The sequence below is a fragment of the Homo sapiens genome, chromosome 18 (assembly GCF_000001405.40).
Source record: "Homo sapiens chromosome 18, GRCh38.p14 Primary Assembly".
Taxonomy (NCBI): domain Eukaryota; kingdom Metazoa; phylum Chordata; class Mammalia; order Primates; family Hominidae; genus Homo; species Homo sapiens.
This window is the reverse complement of record NC_000018.10, coordinates 3,941,943-3,963,594: the sequence shown is the minus strand read 5'-3', so window position 1 is coordinate 3,963,594 and position 21,652 is coordinate 3,941,943. Positions and strand designations below refer to the sequence as shown.

At 40.7% G+C, this 21,652-nt stretch overlaps 1 protein-coding gene and 1 long non-coding RNA gene across 12 annotated transcripts in view; one reads left to right on the top strand and one right to left on the bottom strand.

Annotated features, from left to right (window-relative positions):
* The window catches only part of DLGAP1-AS4 (DLGAP1 antisense RNA 4), a 51,591-nt gene extending 50,349 nt beyond the window's left edge, over positions 1–1,242 (bottom strand). Inside the window, exon 1 of the long non-coding RNA NR_102696.1 lies at positions 1,165–1,242. This is a non-coding gene — a long non-coding RNA (DLGAP1 antisense RNA 4). The remainder of the gene's footprint in view (positions 1–1,164) is intronic.
* Positions 1–21,652, top strand: part of DLGAP1 (DLG associated protein 1) — a 959,276-nt gene that overhangs the window by 491,713 nt on the left and 445,911 nt on the right. The gene's annotated exons all lie outside the window — the stretch shown is intronic.

Sequence of the window (21,652 nt, the reverse complement as noted above, 5' to 3'; positions counted from 1 at the left end):
AAAAAAAAAAACAGCCCAAAGTACACAGAAGAGAATGGAGCTTCAAAGGTAAAGGATAAAAACAAACCACAGCCCAGGAGAGAAGCTCAGAGACAAACTGTACAAGAAAGGGACCTGGGGCAAATGTGTCAGTAATTAGGAGGTGGTCTTGGAAGAGCAGGGTAGCCTGGGCACCTCATCCTCATGCACATTTGAGTCCAGGCAGCTGCACACTTTCCTTCAGCCTCACAAGGCCCAGCAACTGTGCTCTCAACAAAGGAAAAGCTCTTCTGCTGGTTTATATTTATGAGAAGCAGAGTAGAACCCTGGGGGGTGAGGGGGGCAATGAAATGGAGCCTTTGGAGCTGGAACTGGCCCAGCTTCAGGTGAAGCCTCCAAGTGGGTATTCTGAAGTGAGGACTGTAACAAGAGAGGCCAAGAAGGCTATGTTCCAGTTAAGGAAAAATCCCCTCTGGCACCCCCAAAGCAAAGCAGTCTCCCCCATCCTGCTCTCCCCACAATTATAGAAGGCAGACAGAAGAGATCAAGATGCACATGAATAGAAAACAGCACTTCTCATTTGGATTGAGGAAATTTTCAGTCTTCAACCAGTCCTTCAACATGAGCATGAATAGATAACTGAGAATCACCAAACTTTGAAAGAACACCAACACCTACAAGAAGCATCAAATCAACAAACTGAAGAACTAACTCACCCCAAGGAGACCTTGTCAACAGAAAAAAAAGCAAAGACAATTTTCAGATAAGCATAATAACCAAAGAAATGTAATCATTTTGTCCTCAAATATTCAATAAAATAAGACCAAGCCACTCTTTTTAAAACTCCTGGGAGATACACGCTGTCAGTCCAAAGCAAAATGCATACAACTAAAGAATAAATGTCCTGGAAGGATTCCTAAAAATATCATGAAAACAAGCATAGGGATGGAAAGAATGGGAAGAGTGATGTAGGAATGATGGATAGAGCCAAACCTCAAACGTCTATCAAATAGGAATTTCAGAAGAAAAGAACAAAAAATGGAAGAGGGAAAATACTGACCAAATTAAAAGAAAATTTCCCTGAAGTACACAGCTTGGTAAATGTTCAGAATATTTACATATAAATAAATATATGAATATATAAAGGTTCCAGGCTGCAGGGAGAAGTGAACACAGATTACTTACAAGGGAATGAGGAGCAGGTAGGATGAGATGTTTCATCGCAATTCATTCTACACACCAGCAGTCATTGGATCAATTCTCCCAAGTGCTCAGGGAAAATGAATACTAGTTTGTTACCAGTTCAAACTCAAATTTAATGTGAAGAAACGATGAGTGATTGGACAAAGTTTACCCGATGACGTCCTTTCTGAAAGAATAACTAGGGAATTTATTTCAGCAAATGAATCCAAAAAAGAAGGACTGCAGATATTAAAAGTGGTAGCAAACAAAAATTCTTACCACTGAGACGTAACTGCCTGATTGTGCATCATATATATTTTTTTAATCTCAAGCAAAAATTCCCAGATCTTTTTGAGAATCAATATCCTAAGGTAATATCTTCTACTGTCTTGTACCAAAGAAAGATCAAAGTGTTGCCCATGACCTGTTAATACACGGCGAAGGGATCCTTTACTGTATGTGACTCAGAGTCCAAGAACCTGGTCAATCATGTTAGCATCCTGCATCCAGTCCTCCCTGAAACCTGAGCAACCCAAGCCACTGTCCTGTGCCCTGTGTCAGAAGACCCCTCTGTGGCTTTCCTCTGTCCATGCCCCTCACAGCAGCATGATGAGTCTGCAGGCCCCCAAGCCCATGCTTCCCCTTGCCCCACTTGTGGGCCATGCTCCAGGTACCTGGGATGGTAGAATTCCCAGTCAGTTGGCCCTGAGGCCCCTTCCAAGGCCTGCAAAGCTGTTCTCCAGGTCTGCCCTCCCACTGCTGACCAGGCATCAGTGTGTGCCCTCCTTGGATGAAGGATGGCCAAGGAGTGAGGTTTTGCTGGGAGGAGGGAGTGATGGACAAAACCTGGACACACTCGCTGGTGCCCTTGTGTATCCTGCTCATGGTATGGTGTGGATCCAGGTGTGGGAAGAGAAATGGGTGGGGCAGAGGGCCAGGACCTTTCATTTGTATTCCCGTCCTAAGTCCTGAAAATGTCAGGGACTGGCCTGCTCTCATCTTTGACAGAGCAAGAAAGACGGGGAGGAGGGAGAGAATTCAGTACAGAAAGAAGTGGGATTGCAAAAAGGCTTCAGAAAAAAGCCAACCAGACATAGCAATTGGAGGAGGAAAAGGTGGGAGCTTTTGAAGTGTTGGAGGTTTCCTGCAGTAAGTACCAGAAAACCTAGCTACAAATGGCCCAAAGGAGGTGTGTACCCACTGTCACTCATACCGCAGGAGAGAGGCCTCAGGATGCTCCCTTCCTTGCTCAGTGAACTCCTCAGGGCTCCGGAGCCCTTCTGTCTTCCCTCTCTGTGTCTGAGGTTAGTGTGCGGCTTGGCCTCTGTGGCCTGCTCCCCCAGCGGCCCAGGGCGACTCGTAGTTCTGGGTGATGCCCCCAGGCCACAGTGTCCAGAAGCAGGAAGAGAACAAGCCAGCCTCGTGTCTCTTTTCCAGAGTAAGAAAACCTCCTGGACTCCCCCTAACCCCAGGTCTCATTTGTCAGAACCAATCACTGGCCAGAAGAAGTTCATTTCCCATGTACCAGGATTCACTAATACAAGGTCAGCCGTGACACCATGAGGGCCAGTCAACTCCAAGGCCCAGGCCACCTGGACACTGCACAGAATCGAGCTTCCCACAACTGCAAGAGGGGGCCTGGCTGGGGAGCAGGCACCTGCAGGGAGCAAGGCTAGAGGCGCCGAGGACTGAACCTCACAGTGGTTCTCAAAGTGTGGTCCCCAGACTAACAGCCTCGGCTTCACCTGGGAACTCACTAGAAATGCAAATTCTTCGCCTTCACCCCGGATGTCTAGAATCAGAAACTCTGGAGGTACGGCACAGCAATTTAGGTTTCAAGTTTTTGTTTCTTTATGTTATTATTTTTTTAGAGATGGGGGTCTCCGCTCTGTCACCCAGGCTGGAGTGCAGTGGCACAATCATAGCCGCAGCCTCAAACTCCTGGGCTTCCCCCATCAACCCCCTCTTCCCCAACCCCCATTAGCTGGGACTATAGGTACAGGCCACCATGCCTGGCTAAAGCAATTTAAGTTGTAAGAAGCCCTCCAGGAGAGGCACTCTATAAAGTGTGGGAACCGCTGGCTTCCCCGACCTCCTTCTCTTAGGGGTCAGAGTGCAATGAATCAGCAAAGGAGACACAAGAAGAGACCTAGCAGACAATAGGAAAAGGCACCTAAGGTGGGGAAGCAGCAAGGAGTCAGCAACAGCAAATGCAATGAAAAAGCCTTGTGTTTTATTTAAAGAGCTGATCAGGGATAGGAAATTGAGAAATGAAACGTAAAGTGGTTACAATTCAAGTGAAGAGTTTTCAAGGGAGTGCTGTGCATGTTTCAAGGCAGAGAAAAAGAATCCAGTGGAAAGTTAAAGATACTGGAGATAATACTCAGGGGAGGATTTTCCTGAGGTCTGTGAAGGGAGAGACGCTAGACCTCACTTTCCAATGTATTATCTACTGGTCATGTGCAGCTGTTGAGCTCTTGAAAAGAAGCTTGTCTGAATTGAAATGTGATGTAAGTGTAAAAGGCACACTTCATTCCAAGCCTTAGTGTAAAAAGAGACGGTGTAAAATAACCCATTAATAATTGTATATTGATTACATGTTGAAATAATAATACATTTAGATGCATCGGGTTACATAAAATATATTAGTAACATTAATTTCACCACTTTTTTTCTTTTTTCTTTCTTCAGTGTAACTACTGGAAAATTTGCAGTTATGCTTGTGACTCCCATTGTGCTTCTTTCTTTCTTTCTTTCTTTCTTTTTTTTTGAGACAGAGTCTCGCTCTGTCACCCAGGCTGGAGTGCAGTGGTATGAACTCAGCTCCCCGCAACCTCCACCTCCCGGGTTCAAGCGATTCTGCCTCAGCCTCCCAAGCAGCTGGGATCACAGACACGCGACACCACGTCCGGCTACTTTTTGTATTTTTAGGGGAGATATGGTTTCATCATGTTGGTCAGGCTGGTCTCGGACTCCTGACCTCAAGTGATCTGCCCACCTCGGCCTTCCAAAGTGCTGGGATTACAGACATGCGCCACCACGCCCGGCCCCAATTGTGTTTCTGATTAAGAGCTCTGGTCTAAACCACAAGAAAGTCTAATAGGTTTGAAGAAAAACTGTGCAAAAGAGAGTGTAGACGTTTCAGGTAAACAAAAGGACCTAAAGACAAGGTCAGGTACAGCTCTTTAAAGATTCCTCTCGCTAAAATTGAGTCTTAAAATATTGAGCAGAAATATTTCTGCCTCTTTCAAAAAAAAAACTGAGGCGATTATAAGGATGTAGAAGTTAGCCTACTGGCTACTAATTTAATACTGACAAGAAGAGCTGTGTTCATTGAATGAGAATATAATGTGGTGCTGAAATTTCATCTGTGCTTGAAAGAAATCTTTCAACTAGGTTGGACACAAACTTTTGGTGGGTAGAAGCAGCAAAGTGACCCAACATCACACTTTGCTTTTTTGGTTTCATGCTTGAAAGGGGAAGGTTCGAGGTCTAAGAATAAGATAACTAGAAGCCTTCCTTGAGATATTACAGGCAGTCCACTTCAGAAATGCATCAAATGTCAAAGCACAGGACTTGCTTGGGAAAAATCTGGCACCACAGACTAAAGTCAAACGGGAGGACGATGCTCACCTGGGGCTTTAACTACTGGCTACTCATCAGCTCCTGAGAAGCTGTCAGTGAGAAGTTCCTCCCAATGCCTGGAGGCAGTCCAGGTAAGAGGAATAATGCTGCAGGAAGCATCCTGTTTATAACTCCAGATTCTCAAATACCAGAAAACCTGCCACAAAGCCTTTTTTTTTTTTTTTTTGTAAAGAGGATTAAACTCTCTAAGGCCTTCTGTTTCTCAAACTGTGAACTCTCTTCATTGCCTTTAATGAATCTTTCATTTGTTTTCTTGGCCAATCTTGAGTACTTGACTTAGCCAGAAGACTTCTTGTTCATACTGTCCTCTTTTTTTTTTTTTTTTTTTGCTTATCCTAATTTGCAATCTCTCTTCACAATAGTATTGAAGTCCCAGCTGTCATATGAGACTGTCCCCAAAGTCCTGCTTCTTCTACCTCCTTATCATGCATACATAACTTCCTTATTGTAGTTGTTTTTAAAAGTATGGACTAAGGCCAAGTGCACTGGCTCACACCTGTAATCCCAGCACTTTGGGATTACAGGCATACATAACCCCTGCTTCCATATTATAGTTGCTGTTTTTAAAAGTATGTAATAAGGCCCAGAGTGATGGCTTATGCCTGTAATCCCAGCACTTTGAGAGGCCGAGGCGGGCAGATCTGCCCACTTCGAACCACCTGAGGTCAGGAGTTCGAGACCAGCCTGGCCAACATAGTGAAACCCTGTCTCTACTAAAAATACAAAGATTAGCTGGGCATGGTAGTGGACACCTGTAATCCCAGCTATTCAGGAGGCTGAGGCATGAGAATTTCTTGAACCTGGGAGGCAGAGGTTGCAGTGAGCCGAGATCACACCATTGCACTCCAGCCTGGGCAACAAGAGTGAAACTCCATCTCAAAAAAAAAAAAAAAAGTATGGAATAGGGAAGAATGTAAAAATGACTCCACTGAACAAGGTACCTTTATCAAATACACACTTTAGGATTCCCATACTGGGCTCCATATAATTTAATATGCAAGAGAGATGAATGACTAAGATAGAAATTCCTTCAATTTCTATCAACTATGAATTTGAGTGATTTGCTACAATGACAATAGCTTTTAATCATCAATGATTTTAAATTATTTAGTAAGTAAATAATAAAGTAATAAAATAATCTTGAAGCAGAAAATGTAATTTTTTTTCAAGATTAATTTATAGTAAATAGAAAGGGATTAGTAGTGTGGATATTAACAAATGTCTAACGATTTTAAAAATATCTAAGATACATGTAAAATCTATGTGGTTAATCAGTCAGTTAGAACGTGTCATCCCCTGAATGTAAGTGTATTAATTTCCTAGTGCTGCTATAACAAATTACCACAAGCTTAGTGGCTTAAAACAACATAAGTTTGTCATTCCACAGTTCCAGAGGTCAGAAATTCAAAAGAGGTTTCACTGGGCTGTCAGTTAAGGTGTCCACAGGGCTGTGTTCCTTTACAGGCTCTAGGGGAGGGCTTTTCCCTTGCCTTTTCCCTTACAGGCTTCCAGGGGCCACCAGCATTCCTTGGCTCCTGGCTCCTTCTTCCATCTCCAAACTCAGCAGCAAAGCATCTTCAAATCAGTCTCTGGCTCTGACTCTCTTGTTCTTCTCTTTCTCTTATAAGAACTCTGATAATTACATTGGCCCACATGGATCGTCCAGGATAATCTCCACATCTCGAGATTAACTTAATCCCCTCTGCAAAGTCCCTGTTGCCATGTAAAGTAAATATTCACAGGTCCTGGGGATTAGAACATGAATGTCTTGGGGGACCATTATTTTGTCTATTGCAGTTTCAAATCCTGGAAAAGAGATGAGTAAATAAGAAATGTTGGCAGAGTGTGGTGGCTCATGCCTGTAATCCCGGCACTTTGGGAGGCTGAGGCAAGTGGACTACTTGAGCCCAGGAGTTTGAGACAAGCCTGGGCAACATAGTAAGACCCCATCTCTACAAAAAAATACAAAAATTAGCCAGGTGTGGTTGTGTGCACCTATAGTCCCAGCTATTCAGGAGGCTGAGGTAGAAGGATCACTTGAGCCCAGGAGGCTGAGGTGGCAGTGAGCTGAGATTGCATCACTGCACTCCATCCAGCCTGGGTGACAGAGCGAGACCCTGTCTAAAAGAAAAGGAAAAATAGGCCGGGCGTGGTGGTTCACTTCTATAATCCCAGCACTTTGGGAGGCCAAGGCGGGTGGATCACGAGGTCAGGAGATTGAGACCATCCTGGCTAACACGGCGAAAACCCATCTCTACTAAAAATACAAAAAGTTAGCTGGGCATGGTGGCGGGTGACTGTAGTCCCAGCTACTGGGGAGGCTGAGGCAGGAGAATGGCGTGAACCCGGGAGGCGGAGCTTGCAGTGAGCCAGATCACGCCACTGCACTCCAGCCTGGGCGACAGAGCGAGACTCCGTCTCAAAAAAAAAGGAAAAAAAAATGTTAAAGGGATTCTTTCAGGGTGAAACATCTTCCTTTCATCTTCATTTTTAACAGACATTTTCTTCGGTATAGATTTCCAGATTTAAAAACGGATCTTCTCACTTTCATTGCTCCTGTGAGCAATCTACCACCATTTTAATGTGTTCCTCTATGAAGAACACCTTCTTTCCCTGGCTGCCTTTAAGATTTTTATCTTTATCGCTGCCTTTATACAGTTTGATTGTGATGTGCCTTTGTGCAATTTTCCTCATATTTCACATGTTTGGAGTTCACTGAGCTTCTTAGATTGGTAGATATATAGTTTTCATCAAATTTCAACCATTATTTCTTCTTATGTCCCTTTCAGAAACTTCAGTTGTATACATATATTAGTCTGCTTAACATTATCTCACAGCTCACCAATGTATTTTTGTTCATTTTTGAGGAATTGTTCTTTTTTCTATGTGTTTTATTTTGGAAAGTTTCTGTTTCTATGTCTTCAGGTTCACTAATCTTTTCTTCTGCCATGTCTAATCTAGCATTAATGTTACCTAGTGTATTTATTATTGCACACATACTAGTTTTCTCTCTAGATGTTCAATTGGGTGTCTTTTATATCTTTCATGTCTCTACCTAACTTTTTTTTTTTTTTGAGACGGAGTTTCACTCTTTTTGCCCAGGGTGGAGTGCAATGGCACGATCTCGGCTCACCACAACCTCTACCTCCTGGGTTCAAGTGATTCTCCTGCCTCAGCCTCCCGAGTAGCTGGTATTACAGGCATGCACCACCACATCCGGCTGATTTTTTTGTATTTTTAGTAGAGGCGGGGTTTCTCCATGTTGGTCAGGCTAGCCTCGAACTCCTGACCTCAGGTGATCTACCCGCCTCGGCCTCCCAAAGTGCTGGGATTACAGGCATGAGCCACGGCGCCCGGCCTGTCTCTACCTAACTTTTTGATTGATGGGCAGACATTGTGAATTTTACCTTGTCAGGTACTGGATATTTTTGTATTCCTATAAATATTCTTATGTTTTGTTCTGATACAGTTAAGTCCCTTGGAAAGAGCTTGATCTTTTTGGGTCTTGCTTTTATGATTTGTTAGACAAGTCCGGAGCATGCCCAATATAAGGCTAGTAATTCCCCACTTACTAAAACAAGAGGTCTTTGAGCACACTACCCATTGCCCCATAAACTCTGAGTTTTTCCAGGCAGCCTGGTAGGAATAGGCACTCTTCCTATCTCTGCAAGGACACCAAGCACTGTTCTCTAATCTTTTCTGATGTTCCTTCCCCCCCGCAGCCTGGAGTAATTTCTTCACATGCATTTGCCGGTTGGATCCTCTGCGGATCCCCAGGCAGCTCTCTTCTCTTTGGTGCTCTGTCCTGAGAATTCCAGCTGCCTTTATCTCCTTGCACTCTCCTCCCTGTCTTCTAAATTCAGAGAGTCTGCGCGCTGCAACTTTATGAAGTAAGCAGGGGCAATTTGGGGGCTTATCTTATTTGTTTCCCATCTGTCAGTGATCACTGTCCCTTCATTGTCCGCATGTCCAGTGTTTTGCAAACAGTTATATCATATGTTTTGTCTGGTGTTTTTGGTTGTTTCAGGCGTGAGGTAAATCTGCCCCTCGTAACACTGTCTTAGGAAGAAGTATCTCATCCCTTTAGTGATTTATAGACCCTTTGAAAAGTTCCTAATCTTGTATTTATCATCATCTGAAAAGGCTCCTTCACTTGTTTCTTATAGATAATTCTGAGACTTTCCCTTTATTTGAACACAATGCTGTGGCACTGGAGAGATAAGTCACATAACTTTTTGCTTAAAAAATAATTAAGTGTGACTGACACCTTCTTGTGTGAAATAGTTTTATTATTTTACTTACTAGTAAAAATATTGTTTAATGTTCATTGAAGTACATTCAGTTTCATCCTTCACACATCCTATTACTCGTCTTCAAATGTGTCAATTAAAATAAGATCTGTTCACACCACTTAACATCAAAAATCCTGTTTTGGCAGCTTAGTATCAGAGCTTCTGAAATCCCTGTGGGGCCTTTTATTTTTGTCCCTCAAGTGGAATCCCATGAACATAGTTCTAATTTATTATGAAATGAGAAATATTTTTAAGATAATATGTTTTTAGGAAGATAACTTTAAAAAAATACTTGATCTCTTAATTCTTGAAGTCTTTATCTTTTCCACATTTGACCATTTCCTTTATTAAAATAAAAATACCTTCTTACTTTGAATGATAAACAATTGTCTATAACTTTTATATATTAAGAGAAAACCCAAATATCAATATTTACCTAATATTAAAAGCAAGTGATGAAATATTCCTTATAACAGTAATGTTAGAAGTGATTTCCCTTCCTCAGGACAATCCGATGGTGATGATGATAAAGAGCTCCAAGCACAAGGCCTCAGATGGAACAACTTTATCCAAGCCATGGAATCTCTCCGGCCATTTTTTCCCATCTTACTAGTTTAGAGATGCCATAAAAGATTAGAGTATGTTTCAGACTGATTGAAATATCAGATGCCATACCATCATCCTTTAAGCATCACTATTTTAATGGTGAAAATATTTCCATTTAAAAACACTATGGAAATTTGTCAAAGAACTAAAAATAGAACAACCATTCAATTCAGCAATCCAAAAACTACTGGGTATATAACCAAAGAGAAAGAAATCATTATATCAAAAATATACTTGCACTTATATGTTTATCTCAGCGCTAATCACAATAGCAAAGATATGGAATCAACCTAAGTGTCCATCAACAGATTATTGGATAAAGAAAATGTAGTGTACATATATATGATGGAATACTACTCAGCCATAAAAAAGAATGAAATCATGTCTTTTACAGCAACATGGATGGAGCTGGGGGCCATTATCCTAAGTGAAATATCTCAGAAACACAAAGTTAAATACCACTTGTTCTCACTTACAAATTAGTGCTAAACAAAGGGCACACATACACATATCGAATGAAATAATAAACACTGGAGACTATAAAAGGTGGCAGGGTGGGAGGGGGACTGAGTGTTGAAAATTACCTATTGCATGCAATGGTCACTATTTGGGTGATGGGTATGCTGAAGGCCCAGACTCCACCACTATACAATATATGCATGTAAGAAACCTATGCTTATACCCCCTAAACTTATAGGAATTTAAAAATATTTTCCCTTTGGAAAATACAGAGCAGAACTCTGGGACACACCATTTCAGGAGCTAAAGAATAAGTTACTCAAAAATCTGAGGTAAAGCAATTTCTCAGGACAATTAACTTTTGAAAAATTTAGGCTGCTTTCTGTTTTGCATATTCGATATACAACTAATAAACTTAGAGATGGCTTTCAGTCTTCCAAGGGCAGAACACAGAGTCTAGCCCTGGTAGGAACTTAGGAAAAGAAGCAGATGAATCCTTCAGTAGTTAAGAGGAAAAATGGCCCTGGACATCAAGAAGGTGGCATGTAGCCATCCGTCCTGGGTGGGTGAAAGAGATTCCAAGTGCTTATTTACTTATTGTAAACTCTCTCCTGCCTATAATTGTTTTCCATTGCTTCTGATTCTGTAGCAATAAAGACAACTGTTCAGTACCCTCTAACATCTTTCATACACTTATTTCATTCAATAGACATCTTTCTTTATGCAAGATAATCTCATTGAAGCTTGACCAATGAGTATATGTTCAGTTAAATGATTAACATTTACCCTTTTCTCTCCACTTACCATGGTTTTGTTCCTACCCTCAGCATGCTCTTCTGTGTCACCCCTTGGCTCAATAGCAACACTAGGCTAAGTGGGGCTGAGGCTACAGGTTTGTGGCCATGATCAACCAGTTCACCCAAGTGGGAAATCAACCCTTTGCCGTGGTCCGATGCCACCCTGTTATCTCCATTCAGGCACCTGGTTAATGCAAATCACTAGGGGGAGTGGTCAATAGTGTGAAGTTAAAACAGCCTTCGTCCTCAGTGGGAATCCTCCCCCCAAGAGTATAGGGTTGGTCCCAATGAGCCAGAGTACCATTATATGACACATCCTAATAAAGAGCTAAGGAGATTAAAGCGAACTTCCTTGATATTTTCCCATCTGGCATTAAAAGATAAAAGCAGTAAAAAATCATCCCTCAGGAGGGGAAATGCTTTTTTCTTCCCCAAACTGTATGATCTGAGTCATGTTAATTAACTTCAGTCAAATGCTCCTACGCATAGTTTTAGAATCCATCTTATAAACCGACTAATCACTAGCAAGAATGTAATATAACATTCCTAACTATCTCTCTATTATAGAAATTTCTCTACGTTTTTCTACCATCCTGTGTTTTCCATAAAATGTCTTAATAATTCTAATAACCTAAATCTTCAGTAAAACTGATACTCAGTTAATAGGTTGTATTAGTCCATTTTCACACTGCTATAAAGATACTACCCGAGACTGGGTAATTTATAAACAAAAAAGGTTTAATCGACTCACAGTTCTGCATGGCTGGAGAAGCCTCAGGAAACTTACGATCATGGCATAAGGGGAAGCAGGTACTCTCTTCACAAAGCAACAAGAGAGAAAAAAATGTGTGAAGGGGGAAGAGCTCCTTATAAAACCATCAGATCTCTTAAGAACTTGCTCACTATCATGGAGAACAGCATGGGGGAACCGCTCCCATATTCCAATCACCTCCCACCAGGTCCCTCTCCCAACACGTAGGAATTACAATTCAGATTACAATTCAAGATGAGATTTAGATAAAGACACAGCCAAACCATATAATAGGCCAACTCAACTTTTCTTCTCTGTAAACCAGAGTTTCTTGAAATTACAAAAAAATTTAGTGGATACATTTGAAATTAAATTCAGCTGAAGAGCTGGACCAATCAATAAATAAATAAATCAAACAAAAGGAAAAATGAAGAACCAGTACATCATTTTCAAATTACTTTGACAGCTATTGTCCAAAAGTTTTCTATTTATCCATCAAGAGACACCTTTACACTATAATTACACATCAACCATTTAAGAATTAGAAGATATGAACTTAAATATATTAGAAGATTCCTTCCCCAGAAGTATTTTGATGTATGTGTTTGTATATGTGTGTAATGTGAGGTTAGTACTGAAAATGCAGAACCACTGCAAAACCACTGTCACGTTTTAACTTGCTAATTTTGTTCTGGTTAGAATGTTAATGCTTAAATCAGCTCTAGATCAATTGCATTAGTCTTACACCATGGGGCAAACATGTAGGAACTAAATGAGTTTTCTTCCATTGTTGTCTAGGCTCTGCTGACCCCAAAACATTGACTTTTTAAATAGGAAGTGCAGAAAAGGTAACTTCTGAGCTGAATGATGATTTGCCTTCATGTGCTGTTTAAGGGACACTTTCTCATCTGTTCTCTCAGGTTTGGACTCTCCTCCAGTCTTGTCATTCCTTGACCATAGATAACTGTCAGCCCGTATAGTTCATTCATATCAATACCTATATTTTTTCTTTAAATTGCTGACCTATCAAAATTCTCTTTCAGTTTTATTGTAACACTACAATTAGAATACACAATAAAAAACAGTCCCTTCTAAGGGCTGGTAAAAAATCAGATAATCTTTGCCAGGTGAGTCTGCCTCAGACTAGGGTAAATGGAAGCAGCGTTCAGAAAAGCTGTGGAGCACTCCCAGCAGATATCAGGGCTGGTTCCAGTGCCATCACCACTTCTGAAGCTTGAGAAGTTCTGTTCTCAATGAATGTTCATCATTCATTCATTCATTCATTCACTCATTTGACTGGTTTGCACTGAGTATTTAGCATGTGCTATTCACAAGGAAAATAGTCATAAGCAACATTGGAAACAGTCCTTGCCCTCAGGAGGCTTGCTCTGTCATGGGAAAGAAAGATGCTAATCCAATAATCTAGCAAAGAAGTACAGACTTCAGTGTGATATGTGCTTCTGAGGTTAGGCCTGGTACTGGCACACTCTGTTGTTCCAGAGGGGATTTGACTCCATGAAGAGGTGCTAACTGGCTCAAGATTTGAAGGATGAGAGGTGTTAACCAGGTAGGAGAGAAAACATCATTCCAGCAGGAAGTATATGTGTGTGAACATATTCCTTACTTTGAAACCAGCAAAGATGGTTGCACAACTCTCCACAAATAATGAAATACTGGCTCTGCCTCTTTTTTTGGAGTTTCTGTCATAATTAACTCATTTTGTGGGATTTTTAGGGGTACTCAAGCTATTATTCTTTAAGTGGTAAATCCAATAGGCAAAGAGCCTAGATCAGATTGTTCTTGAACATGGAGATGTTTAGTTGGTATGAAAAAATCTCAGTAATATAGAACTCACTTCTCACTGTGCCTTCAAATCTCAGATATTGTTAAAAGGCTGCATCTATTCTAATGTTTTTCCTAGCACCTACCATCTGTGTTTTGGGATTTATATAAATGAATTTGTGTTCCTTAAAGAAACAAAATATCATGTGGACTAAAAAAGGTGTAGACAGGTGGTCTTCAATAAGATATATTTTTCCAGTGTGATTTATGCTATTTGGTGTAATCATTACTAACATCTCACCCATATTATAAATGATCTTCTTAGAAAATAACAGATTTTTAGAACAAAATATAAGCTTGTGTTTGTGTCAAATATTTTGCTTATGTGATGTTAAATACAATTGCACATTATATTGGGTCAACTATATACAACCAGTCCAGACATAACTCAGAGAGGATGTCCTGCATCGACAAAGAGGCGCTCTGCTGGTGAAATTTCCTATAGTAAAATAATGGGGATATAACAGCCAGGGTCCTGTGAGGAAGGCAGAACCCACATCACGTGATTTAAGAGAAGGAATTGTTACCAAGATGGTGGGAAGGGCTAGAAAACAGATTAGCAGCAGGAAGCCTACACAACCTAGACCTGTGGTGTGAAGTCACAGGGAAAAGGTACCCAGAACCCAGAGCCACAGCTGGGTCCTGAGACCACTGAAGCCCCAGGTCCGGAGCTACAAAGAGATGGAGCCACTTGAGGCAGAGCAGAAGAAACACCCTGACTTCTCTCTTGCTCCCACCAAGCCTCCCACTGAAGGACAAACAAGTTACTATCTAATTTTTTGAACCTAACTCAAGCCAATTGTAAGGGAGGCTGGGAAATACAGTTTGCAGTGAGCCCTTTGGTAAGGGCAAGAAAGAGATCAGAGCCAAGAGACAGATGTATGACACAGAGCCAGCAAAGTATTGCTGAATGATATCATGTATGAAGGTCCAGGGCCCTGTGTTATTGGTGCCTCTTTTTCTTAAACTTTTCTTCATAACAATATTCTTCCTGAAAGCCTTTTTTATGGGAAACATATTCCTTTTTTATTATGAAAGAATTATTGATAATTTCTGTTTAGGTTTATAATGATGTAGTTTTTCTTAGTCCATATTTTTATTTATTTTTTTAAAATTTTTTATTTCCACAGGTTTTTGGGGAACAGGTGGTATTTGGTTACATGAGTAAGTTCTTTGGGGTGATTTGTGAGATTTTGGTGCACCCATCACCCGAGCAGTATACACTGAACCCAATTTGTCTTCTTTTATTCCTCACTCCCTTCCCACCCTTTCCCCTGAGTCCCCCAAGTCCATTGTATCATTCTTATGCTTCATAGCCTAGCTTCCACTTATGACTGAGAGCATTCCTGAGTTACATCACTTAGAATAATAGTCTGCAGTCCCATCCAGGTTGCTGCAAATGCCATTGATTCATTCCTTTTTATGCTGAAAGTCATTTTTAACTATTCCTTACTGAATGTGTTGTTTCTTCCTAATAGACTTTCACCAACCTAGGCATGCGTGCTTGGCTCTTACCCTGTACAAGACAACACGCTAGATCCACTTATCTGCAGTGCTGGAGAGAGGCAGGCAGTAGGAAGGAGATCGTCACAGGCATATGCAGAGGAAGAATTCTGTGAAACCCTAACAGCAGGTGACAAACCTGCCACTTTGCATGAATTTTCAATAGTGGAAAAAGGAAGGGGGATCCAGCATCTAGTGAGCTGAGTAACTGGCAGTGTGCTTGACTCACTGTGGCCCCTACCTTCTCTGGCATCATTCACAGCAAGAGAAGCTCTTGGCAAGACAAGAGCAGGACAAGCTCTTGGCAAATTGATGAGGTTGCCATCAACTGGATGTCTTTGGCCTGGAAAAGATCTTCAGCCTCTGCCTTCCAAAGCACTAGCTGGGTCTTGCCTGGCCTTGGTTATCTCCCTTCAGTTGGTCTCTTCTGTGTTCCTAACGAAGCCCCAGCAGATTGGATGTATGGGAGTGTACTTTGCTTCCTGAGCCTACCATTTTGGGGATGTGCATTCAATTACCTTTTGCTTTGAGCTACAGGCCCAACTCCTCCTCACTTCTTTCACCCACAACTACCTCTATTTCCTGAGATGCACCCACCAACACCACCACTATTTGGAACAGAGACAAGATGTATTACAAATCTTAACTCACTCAAAAATCAGGTAGTAACTTGTTTGCCTTTGAGGCCCTGATCTCCTGGATTCTTCTATTAATATAAAAGGATCTCTGAGATCATGGCTTGTTGTAGTAGCACTTTCCATTTTAACATTATATTCTCCAACCGGTAAGATTAGCTAGTAAGGAAATGTGATATAGGGCAAGTTCTTTTCTGCAGGGGGAGTGTGACCAAATGAGCTCACAAATGGTAGTGAAATTGGGGTGGGGGGAGTCCCCTTAAACCTCAAAGTGTGGTAAAGCATGTAAAGTATTTTCAACGTCTTACAGAAGTCACTGAGCATTTCCTTTAACATACGTATGTGTATCTTAGTTTAGAACAGAGTTGGTCTGACTGAGAACTGGGACTAAGTGAGTGGTTGATGCCCAGAGTGCAGAGTAATGAAGACCAGTGTCTATGTGAAACAAGAGAAAGATGGATTGTATCAAAACAGCATGTAGAGGCAGAGATTGAGGGGACAGGGAGAGGTAGACATCTACCATTTTGGAAGAGATAAGCCAGACAAGGGCTGAGAACAGCCTAGTGTCAGCACCATGATCAGACAAGCCTAGTTTGTGGTTAAGGTAACTAAAGAGATAAGAAACGGAAAGAACTTGGAAGTATCGGCTCAGTGCTTTGAACACATAAAGAGAGTTCTTTCTGTTTCTTGGTAGGAACAATCCCCTAAAAAGATCTTAGGTTGTAAAAAACACTGGTCTATACCCAACCCAATGTGTGTAGGCTGGAATGCAGTGGTTGTGTGTAGCCTAGGAAAAAACGGTGGGTTTAGGGATTGCAGGGAGTGGAGCATTGGGAAAGTCAAGACGTCTCTCTCCTCTCTAGCTGCCTTCATTACTGTTGAACACCCATTCAAAGAATAAAACAAGGAGCTTTATCCCAATAATCATGTAAGTCTCCCCCCTAAAATATCAAGAACTTAGTGGAAAATCCTACAAATGTATCTTCAAATTAAAGCAGTAAGTTCTAAAAGCATCACGTCAAGGTTTAAATGAAATGAGATGAATGCAATTTATCAGTTTTTTTCTTTCAATCAAAATTCAAGGTGAATTTTAGCAGTGACTCAGATCATTTTTGGTATCTTTTATTAGCAATAAGTCAGAACCTTTAATTATGAATAACCTTGGTGCCACAAAGAAAATGATAGGACTCTTCCAGAAAGGTTTTCATTAGTTAGAGACCAAATTAATTTTAATACTTGATAGTTTTTTTCACAGAGGGAATACTTTGCTTTAAAGAGTGTTTTTGTTTGTTTCTCTGATTGTTTTATATTTAGTAAATTCCCAGAAAACCCCCATCACTAATATAATAGTGTAAATAATTGAACCAAGTAATAAAGCATACAAATAATTGATCAAATCTATTTTGATTTGCCTTGGAAAATGACTTAACTTCTTAATGTTTGACTTGAAAGGTAAGATGCTAATTTCCTTTTAATTGATATTTGTTGCTTATGAAAACCATACCATTGACACATTAGTTGAGCCCCTGGACTGACCTGGTCTAATAATTATTATGACACGTGGTGAGCAAATGAACCAAGCTACAGTCCCTATACTTCATGTCTGTCCACCACATTGTCAGACTGGACCATTCATGGATCAGAGGAAATCCACCCAGTTGCCCTGCCATCCTTAGAGACAGCAATGAAGAGTAAGGAGGATTTGATGTTAGATATTCATCACTTTTTATTCTTTTAAAGTTATTTGTGCAACCAAAGGACTCAAGGTAAAAAAAAAAAATAAGGGAATAAAGTACCTATGTCATAAAATCTCTAATCAGACAAATGTTGATATTAAGTATACCTATGATAGCTTTCTACCAAAATCAAAAACCACTTATTAAGCATTATTAAAATTCAAGCTTTAAGAATCAATTTCTAGAACATGAGGTTCCAATGGTATTATCCCCAGTCTTGGCTTATCTAATAATTTTCATCGACAGATTCTGAATTATGGTCTAAAATTATCAGTGGCATCTATTCCCATAACTATATGGTAATATTTTCATTATATTTAAAGGAAACCCCATTATTTGAAACCATTGCTTTAAAGAGCATATTAACTCTTTTTTTTCTTTTATTATTATACTTTAAGTTTTAGGGTACATGTGCACATTGTGCAGGTTAGTTACATATGTATACATGTGCCATGCTGGTGTGCTGCACCCACTAACTCATCATCTAGCATTAGGTATATCTCCCAAGGGAGCATATTAACTCTTAAAAATCCCATAAGAAGATGCTGTTATCTTTGTTTTACATAAAAGATATTGAGCAAATATTTTAAAGAATTCTTGGCCTTTCTTTTTTCCCTTTGAAGATTTACCTTGACATTCACTTTAACCTGATTTTATCTCCACATAACTATTAGAACCAATCGTACCACTCAATGATACTTCTAAGCCCTACATTCTACTCCAAATGTAACCATTTTATAAGTGTTTTATTGTATACTCCCAAAACACCAAATATGGAACGATCAAAGAGTGATGTTTACTTGTTGCTTCAAGCTTGCTTCCATCTTGTAAGATGTTTCATACTTTGCCTAGGGATTCCTGTTTTCTTCCTAAAGCAAACTATTAGGCACAGTTGGAGATATTCTGATAAGTAATGTTAATGAACTCCCATACCAGGCACTATCCTAAGGATTTTATATGTGTTAACTCTTTAAATCCTCACATCAACCTGATGATGGAAATATTATCATCATTCCCATTTTAGAGAGAGGGAAATTGGAAGCACAGAGAAGTTAGTTAAGAGCATGTGGGATTCAGACCCAGCTTATCTGGCCCCAGAACCTGGCTTTCAATGGCTATGCTGAGATTCTCTGAGATTCTTACCCTAGATGTAAGAAACCATAAAGATTTTTGAGAAGAAAACAAAGTTAATATAAAAGGCCACCCAATTGTGTATTTAAGGAAACCAAACTTGGCTGTTATGTTAGTAAAAGAGCCACATTCACACTTTTCTCCAAGGATACCATGGCTAGGTTCCAATCTCATCGTTTTTTTTGCGGAAGGCTTGGTGAGTTTCTCCATTTTTAGGTATGTCCTTCCATCCACCTCAAAGGCCCAAGATAGAAGTACAGCAAGGAACTCTCAACAAAGTAGTGATTCTCAACTTCTTCTTACCTTCACAACATTCTAAAAGGAATAAATATACTTTCCACAGTAACAATGCTGATTACAGCAGTAATTCTTACCCAGGGATGAGCATGGTTCCTAGAAGCGGTATCTGTCAGTCTTATGGGGCCTCAGCCCCAGCTCATACTCTAAGCAGAAAGTTGGCTGAGGCAGCTGAGAGTCAGTGTTAGAAATAATCTGTGGGAGCAGTAGCCACAGTCACCTTGCACTTTTTTTTTTTAACAGAGTCTCTGTCTATAGCCCAGGCTGGAGTGCAGTGGTGCAATCTCTCAGCTCACTGCAACCTCCACCTCCCAGGTCCCTGTTCAAGCAATTCTCCTGCCTTAGCCTCCTGAGTAGCTAGGATTGCAGGCACGCACCACCATGCCCAGCTAATTTTTGTATTTTTAGTAGAGATGGGGTTTCACCATCTTGGCCAGGCTGGTCTTGAACTCCTGACTCCATGATCCACTCGCCTCAGCTTCCCAAAGTGCTGGGATTATAGGCGTGAGCCAGCGCATCCAGCCCTTGCACTATTTTTTACTTTCATTTTGAGGAGTACTGAGCTAGAAAGATAAAGACATTTTCTTCAATCTCATCTCGTCACTACACACACAGACACACACACGTCCTATGGGTACAGAAGTGATGAAATGTGCACGAGAGACTGGAATCATTTCTTAGAGCTGCCATTAAAAAGTACCACATACTGAGTGGCTTAAACAACAGAAATTTATTTCCTTATGTTCTGAAGGCTGGAAGTCCAAGATCAAGGCGTTCACAGGGTTGAGTTGTTCTGAGACTTCTCTTCTTGACTTGCAGGTGGCTGTCTTTTTCCTCTGTCCTCACATGGTCCTCCCTGTGTGTCTGTGTCCTAATCTCCTCTTCTTCTAAGGAAGCCAGTCATGTTGGATTAGGGCCCACCCATAGGACCTCATCTGAACCTAATTGCCTCTTTAAATGCCCTATCTCCAAATACAGTACAGTCACATTCCGAGACACTGGGGGTTAGGAATTCAACTTAGGAATTTGGAAAGGACACAAACCCAAATAGATGGTCTCATTTAGAAAGAAAAAATGAATTATAGGCTGTTTTATTTTAATTTGGGTTTCTTTTTCATGCCAGTTTTTCTCAGGTATGCTTGATACTCTCTGAGTTATCTCCCCTTTCCAATGACTGACCAGTTCTACCGATTTGCAAATTCATAAAAGGAGTAATCTGGTGTTAGGCCCAGACCATTTCCTAGCAGTGATGTTCTTTTCCTCATGCCAGAAAAAAAAAAAAAAAAAACCCTCTCTTTCACAGTAGATAATCCTCCATCTTTGCAGTTTATCACCTTAAAAACCTTGACATGAATAAGCTCTTTGATGATACCAAAATAAAAATAGTCTTTTATAAATAAGTCAGCAAAGCCTGGCGATCTGTGAAGGCAGACTTCCAAACATCCAAGCGAAGTTTGTTGTTCCTTTTTCCCTTTCTTCTTTCAAAAACAGTTATTTGTCAATTTAACCTCCTTGATCCATGGAAAATGACAGAGGCGTGCAGATTCAGAAAGGGAAGACAATAAGAGCAGGTGAAGTTGAAGATAGGAGATTGATGCCAGGGAACTAAATAACCAGAAAAGACATGTGAAATAGAGAACCGAATGGAGAGCACAAAGAAAATGGTAACCAATTTTCTCTGAAAGTGAAAGGTAAAGAAAGCTGAAGATGAAACTACCTATTTATTTTTAATAGCTGCATCAAGAGATTGCTTAGGTGGAAAAAAAAAAACAAAAATGTTGCTGGTTCTGATTATCATCCTCAGGCTGAATCCACCCCACCTGGTGTCCCAGCTCCAAAATTCTACCCAAATCGTTACTCCCGTACCCAAACCCTAGACGGTATATCCATAGCAGAAAAAAAATGCATCTTCATAGTTTGAACAAAACAAATAATTTTTGGAAACATTTTTCAATTCAAGAAACATTTACTGTTTAGTAAGTGTTAGGTACTGTTCAAAATGAATTTCTGCCCTCCAGGAAAGCAAAAGCCCAGAACAGATTAAAGGTTTCTGGTCTTAACTCCAGCTCCAGGCTGGCTTGGCTCACTGTGAAGGGGCAGATGCACTTTATCCTGTTCAGTTTTTTCCATTCTATTTGGACGGATGGGAGACCAAGTTACTGCAGCCCTTCCTAAGACAAATTTGGTTGGCACAAATTCAGATGCCATCGCTTTGTTGATCCTTCCTAGAACTTACTTACTAGTCTGAATACAATTTCCCAAGATCATCTCCTCTGTCACCAGGACCTGGAAAACGTATTCTGAAGCTTTCCCCTCCGAGGCTGGAGGTCCTGTAATACAGAGGTGGAAAGCTCCGACTGTGCAGTCAGACGCCTGCCTTCCGACACCAGCAGTTTTAGTTTCAACAACTTAGACACATGATTGAACCTCTCTTTCAGCCTGTTTCCTCATTCATAAATTGGAAGATAGCAACACTCAGAGGGCTGTTGTGGGAACATACTGGAAACATGCATGTAAATCCCTAGGCACAGTGCCTGGCTTATAGTGAAGGCTCTTCATAAATACTAACTTCTAGAAAATGAGGCTCATTAGCTCACTTCAGGTCACAAAGTTGGGATGAAACAGGACCACTACCTAAATCCAAAACCCATGATCTTCACTATACATGTTGTCTCTCTCCTAAGAAAGACCTGGTGATTGTCTTTGTCTAATTTTCATCATCATCTCAAATTTCCCCTCAGATGATTAAAGACCTATAATTCTTTGGGAGGCTGAGGTGAGAGGATCTGCTTGAGCC